The 6,000-nt window shown below is 54.5% G+C and overlaps 1 protein-coding gene across 1 annotated transcript, besides 1 other annotated feature; it reads right to left on the reverse strand.

Annotated features, from left to right (window-relative positions):
- Nucleotides 954–1,907: an enhancer, noted in NCBI's record as "H3K4me1 hESC enhancer chr17:39642150-39643103 (GRCh37/hg19 assembly coordinates)". NCBI's record gives its function as "activates a minimal SCP1, AML or CMV promoter by ChIP-STARR-seq in primed H9 embryonic stem cells {active_cell/tissue: H9 hESC(primed)}" and the evidence as "EXISTENCE:reporter gene assay evidence [ECO:0000049][PMID:30033119]".
- KRT36 (keratin 36) lies at nt 1,192–4,966 on the reverse strand. The gene is made up of 7 exons (NM_003771.5): nt 4,462–4,966; nt 3,698–3,780; nt 3,299–3,455; nt 2,632–2,793; nt 2,407–2,532; nt 2,006–2,226; nt 1,192–1,627 (listed from the first exon to the last, which is right to left on the reverse strand). Exons 1-7 carry the CDS (start codon nt 4,918–4,920, stop codon nt 1,432–1,434), a joined length of 1,404 nt encoding a protein of 467 aa, NP_003762.1. The 5' UTR covers nt 4,921–4,966; the 3' UTR covers nt 1,192–1,431.

Here is a 6,000-nt window from a genome sequence, read left to right on the forward strand (position 1 = left end):
CACAGAGTGGCAGAGTCGGGCTCAGTGCAGGATGCTCTGATGCTACCTATGCACGTCTTCTCCTGTTGTCTGATAAGTTTGCTGCACCTCTGGCTTGCTCAGCAAGTGATTGAAGAGTCCCATTTAGCAGCAAGTAGCTGATGACATGAGGCAGAGCCAGGTCATGGATGTCTTGGCCATGACCCAGAGGAGAGCCCAGAGGAGAGTGAGCACAAGAGAGGGGGAGGAGGGAAGAGAGACAGAGACAGAGAGCGAGACAGAGAGAGAGAGAGAGAGAAATTGTACTGAGAAGAGCTCCAGAGCCAGGGTCAGAATAGCCAGGTGATGGCCAGGTCTCTGCCACTCACTGCTCTGTGGCCTGGAACAAGTCACTGCCCTCTCTGGGCCTGTTTTCTCAAGTGAAGACTGGAGCAGGGGCAAAGGAACCAACCGTGAGGCCCTCAGACCTCTCCCAGGCCATGCTTCTCTGATCAGAGGGGTGTCCAGAGCTGGCAGAGTTAGGCCCCACCTGCAGACCTGCCTAACTCAGCCAGTGGAATCCAGGGCTCTGAACTCTGCTCCACAGTGAAGCCTGGCTGTCCTCTCCCCAGACTCCATGTCTGAGCACCCACCCCCACCCCACTGTCCCTGGCACCCTTCAGTTTGGCCCTATGTGCCTTGTTGGGACATGGATTCACCTGCCCTCCACCTTCACCTCCCTGCTCTCCCTGACTGCCCTCCCTGGCATGGCTGGCTGAGGATGGCTGCCTAGTGTTTGGCCCTCTCTGCTTGTTCCTGGGACCCCCTCTCCTTAACCATCCCCAGTATCAGGCAGCAGGGTGACAGCAGCTGGGCAAGAGAGGAGAAGCTGAAAGAAAAAGAGAGATAGCCACCGAATCCAGGTCGGGCTATGGATGAAGACTGGCTCTGGAGCCTTTGCCTCTTCTGGGGCCGCCCTAAGGTGTCTACTCACAGGCAGGGCCAAGCTGAGAGCTATGGCCGCACCCATCCAGACTGGGTCAGTGTCTGTTCTCATTGGCCAGCCTCTGAGGCATCTTTGTTATTAAATACTTCAAATCACCCTGCCACCGCCTCCCACTCAGAGCCCGAGAAGATAGACCTAAATGGAAACCCCACAACTATACTGCAGCCCCTGATCAGACACCCCCATGAACCACACGAGCACATGAGCATCAACAGAGTCAGCCAGGGTTGAGTTTGCTATGCCAGGAGAACACACTTTATTGGGTAAATTTCCAGGAAACCTGGTTTTGCATGGCGTAAAAGCACAGTTAAGTCCGGAAACACAATACGGGGAGTGTTTTGGTAGAAAAACCTGCTAAGCGTAGGGGGACCCCTCTAGAGAAGGGCAGGGTCGTTAAGCCTCCAGGAGCCACAGGGGTGTCCTCCTTCCTGTGGTCAGGGCCCTGCCCTGGTGGACCAAGTGGGCTGTCACAGCGGGCGGGACTGCACGTGCTCCCTGGAGGAGATGACTTTCCCATCTCTGATCTCCTCGGTGATGGTGCGGATCTGAGTGCCAACCTGGGGAGCCGGGGTGCAGGGCACAGAGGGGACACAGGGCACCGGGGGGACAGAAGGAACTCTAATAACAGGCTTGCATGCCGTGGCACAAGGTTGGGGAGGAAGCCTGAGGAAACAAAATCATGCAGGGTGCATTTGGCATCGGAGCACTGGGCTGAGATTCGTGTTAAACAGATCTAGAGGATCAAGCGAGACCGGTGGCCCCGGATCATCTCAGTGCCTCTGAATTCCCCAAGGGTGAGAGGACTGAGCTACAGGAATGAAGAGCAGAAACTGCCAATCAGAAAAGATGGCGGAAAACACGCGGCGTGTGTTGGGTTGGATTCTCCCGCTGTGCATTACCAAAGCCTGGGACTAAATGGAGAATCTCAAGGGGCTTTGGTTTAGTTCCCTTCATCTGGGCGACAACCACTTCTGGGCTTGACGCCCTCCACATGGCACTGAGGGTTCAGTCAAGCCCTACCCCAGCCCAAGGGCCACTCACTTGCAGTCCTCTCCCTCCAGCAGGTGGCGGTAGGTAGCGATCTCGCCCTCCAGCCGGGCCTTGACGTCCAGTAACACCTGGTACTCCTGGTTCTGCCGCTCCAGGTCGCAGCGGATCTCAGACAGCTGGGCCTCCACGTTGCTGATCAGGCACTGCATCTGGGCCAGCTGGGAGCTGTAGCGGGCCTCGGTTTCGGCCAGGGTGGATTCCAAGGAATTCCGCTGCAATGGGAAAGAGGAAGAGCTGCCTATTGGGGAGGAATCCCCTGACCCCAGAAACCCACAGCCCTGGGCATCTGCCTACGGCCTGTGATCACACCCCATGAGAGCCTGCACGCTGAGGCTGGTGCGTCGGGGACCTGCCACAGGCCGTGGCCAGCGACGCAGGCAGGGGCCACTCACCATGCTGTGCTGAGCCTGCAGCTCAATCTCTAGCGCGTTGACCGTACGTCTCAGCTCGATGATCTCCGTCTGGCAGCACTGCAGCTGCTCCGAGCTGGACACCACCTGCTGGTTCAGCTCCTCAGTCTGAAACACATGCCAGGGCCCAGAGCATGGTCAAACCAAGCTACTTCCAAGGGTAACCCCAGCCCAGGAGCCTGTGGTCCCAGGGCACCCCAGCCCCACCTGGGTGTTGAACCAGGCCTCCACATCTCTGCGGTTATTCTCCACCAGGGCCTCGTACTGGCATCTCATATCCTCCAGGATCTTGTTGAGATCCACTGGGGGAGCAGCGTCCACCTCCACATTCAGTCGGTCCCCAAGTTGGCAACGGAGTACACTGACTTCCTGCAGAGAGGAGGCAAGACGGCATGAGGTTGTGAAAAAGATGCTGGATTGCAGGTTTCAATGACCTGAATTCAAACCCTCTTCCCTCAGTCACCAGCTGCATAGCATTAGACAGGATACTTAAATATCTCTGAGCCTTGGTCTCCTTCTCCGTATATACCTACCTCCTTCTATGGGATATTTGTGAGATGATACAAACCCTAGGCAAATTAAATTGCTGTTATCAGGCACTAGAGCCCAAATAGACATGTAGTGTTATGGGCAAAAGTGTAGACCCTCTATGACCTTAGGCAAGCAACTTAACCTCTTTGTGCCTAAGTTTTCTCATCTGTAAAATGGAGCTTGTAACAGTTTATAATTCTTGGGATTATTGTAAGGATGAAATGAAACGAGAATGAAATGCAAGGCCTTTGTATAGTTCCTGCCGCACAGAAAACTGAAAGCCCAGCAGTGGCTTCCTAAGCTGGATGGGAAACACTGGGAAGTCACATGGCACCAGCCTCACCTCCTCGTGATTCTTCTTGAGGCACATCAGCTCCTCCTTCAGGGACTCCACCTGAGCCTCCAGGTCAGCCTTGCACAGGGTCAGCTCATCCAGGATCCTACGCAGGCCGTTGATGTCGGCCTCCACTAGCTGCCGCAGAGACAGCTCTGTCTCATACCTGCACACACAGAACCCTGCCAAGTCTGCAGCAAAGGAAACCACACACCAGCAGGGACCCCTGCCCTACTGTCCAGCTGCAGTGGCTGACGGGATCAGGAGCATGACACTCCTTTCCCCTGAGGTCCAGGGCTCATGCCACATTTTCCCATCCAGCCTTATTCCCACATCACCAGCTCCCAAAGGCAGGGGACAGAGGCAAGGGAGTGGCATGGCAAACCTTCCCTGATCAGGCCCACTCACTTGGTCCGGAAGTCGTCAGCAGCCAGCTTGGCATTATCAATCTGCAGGACCAGCCTGGCATTCTCAGACTTAGTCAGCAGGATCTGGGGAACAAGAGGCTTCCCATAAGCTACAGGAGGCCCAGCAGTGTGGGGGCAGGTAGGGGGATAGCTCAGCTCACAGAGGCCATGCCACTGTGTACCACCAGCCCCTTCACCATTTCCAGCCCTGAGCCACACCCCAGGTGTGGGGGGAGCATCCACCCCACAGGGGCATCCCGAGGATGTCAGTGACCATCAGTCCTGGCGCCTGTAGCCTTCAGAGTGGCACAGCAAGATACACCAGGGTGAGGCAGACCTGAGTTCAGGTTCTGCATCTAACACTGAGCCTGTGTGCTCTTGAGCAAGTTGCTGAACCCCTCAAAATTCAACTTCCACATCTGTCAGATGGGTCCAGTAATACCAATCTCTCCAAGATGAAGAATAAATAAGCCAGGGAATAGGAAAGTGTCAGGCACAGTGCTGTATCCGGTAGGGGCTTGGTACATGTTCCTTCCCTTCCTACAGCAAGGGGAGGGGGGTGAGGAACGGCTGGCAACAAGGTACAAGCAAGAGACCAGCAGAGAAGCCTGGGTCCCCCAGGAAACCAAAGCCCTAGAGAGAAAAGTTTGCCCTACCAGGAGAATTCCCTAAAAGCTACCGTCCCATCTGGAAAGGCCCTGGAATGAGACAGACGCCTCCTAAGAGTTGGGCTGCTCAGCTGGAAAGGGGCCAGGTCTCCCTCACCTTCTGCTGGAAATCTTCGATGGTCTTGAAGTAGGACTGGTAGTCTGGGCAGATGTATGGGATCTGAAACTCGTACCACTCCTGGATGCGGCTCTCCAGCTCCGCGTTCTCCCGCTCCAGCTGACGCACCTTCTCCAGGTAGTTGGCCAGGCGGTCGTTCAGGAACTGCATAGTCTCCTTCTCGCTGCCGTTGAAGGAGCCCTCGCAGAACCAGCCCCCGCTCCCCACAAAGCCAGAGGTGTGGCACTCAGAAGACAGGTAGGAGCCAGGCAAGCAGCTCCCAAGGCCAGAGAGGCCCGACCTAGCAGAAGAGATGTACCCTGCAGCACCGGCGAGACTGGGGACCCTGCAGGAGCCCACAGAACGGATGGAGGACACCCGAGAGATGCCGCCTGCTGTGCCACAGAGGCCCTTGATAGACCCAGTGGAGAAGGTAGGGGTGCAGGTCTGGGTGGCCATGGTGCTAGCAGAGGAAGGTTGCAGCTTAGCAAGGAGCTCAGGTTCTGGACTCTCAAGGCCTCTATGGAGCATTTATGTACACTCACCATTGGGTGTTGGCATGGTACACATCTCTTGCTCTTGGGAAAGCCTGTTCCTACCCCAGATAGCTAATATTAGAATGTGATTTTTGCTACCCATCCGGAACCCCATGCCTTGTAAAAAAAAAAAAAAAATCAAATCGTTGAATTTGGTTTGCTAAGTCAGGACTCTCCACTGTTGTCATTTCCTAGCAGAATATGAGTTTTATTGCCTCTTCAAAGAGTCTCTGCACCAGATCCCATAAATCGGGAGTGGCTGCACGAATGACATTTGGTTCCTGCTTTCTCCACCTCCCTTCCCCTGGGGATCCTCATCTGTCCCTTGTCACTTCCATCCACTGCTGCCACGCCTCATAGCTGCTCACCCCTGCCTGGGCTACTGGGATGGTAAAAGGGAGCAAAGGAACTAAAATTCAGGGAGCACCTGTGATGTACCAGGCTCATTGTTATTTCATTTACACCTCGTAACAACCCTAGGAGGTGGCTGATTTTATCTTCATTTTTACCAGTGTGGAAACTGGGGCTCCGAATGGTTTAATAGCTTGCTCAGTGTGAACAGGAAGTGACTGGCAGAGCTTGGGTCTGAAACTAGGGCTCTCAGACACCAAATCCTACTTCCTTGCCCCACTGCTTCCCCACACAACTGGAGTCAAGTCTGGGTACCCAGAATTTAGGGACAGGAGACATAGTTCAAATCCTGGCTCTGCTACTAATTTGCCCTGTGATACTGAGCACATCATTTCCTCCCTGGGAACCTCAGTGTTTTCACTGGAACAGTAGAGATTGTCCTTCTGTCCCGCCTGCTTCACACAGATATAAGGAGGATCGAACAAGAAGTGAAAGTGTTTTGCAAGCCACTGGGTCCTGCAGAAGTGTTGGTTGGTTAGGTTAGGTTAGGTTAGGTTAGGTTAGGTTAGGTTAGGTTAGGTTAGGTTGACAGTCTTTGATGATGGTTTATGGCTGTGACCAGCAAAGGTTCGTGAGTGTGAGCATTCACATG

Source organism: Homo sapiens, chromosome 17 (genome assembly GCF_000001405.40).
Source record: "Homo sapiens chromosome 17, GRCh38.p14 Primary Assembly".
NCBI classification, from domain to species: Eukaryota; Metazoa; Chordata; class Mammalia; order Primates; family Hominidae; genus Homo; species Homo sapiens.

What these genes read in the sequence shown, in the direction of transcription:
- KRT36 (NM_003771.5), bottom strand. Translation starts at nt 4,920, where the DNA reads ATGGCCACCCAGACCTGCACCCCTACCTTCTCCACTGGGTCTATCAAG. An exon ending in TCAAGAAGAATCACGAGGAG is followed by an intron (nt 2,794 to 3,298) that starts GTGAGGCTGGTG and finishes TCCTCTCTGCAG; the next exon opens with GAAGTCAGTGTACTCCGTTG. An exon ending in TGCAGGCTCAGCACAGCATG is followed by an intron (nt 2,227 to 2,406) that starts GTGAGTGGCCCC and finishes TTCCCATTGCAG; the next exon opens with CGGAATTCCTTGGAATCCAC.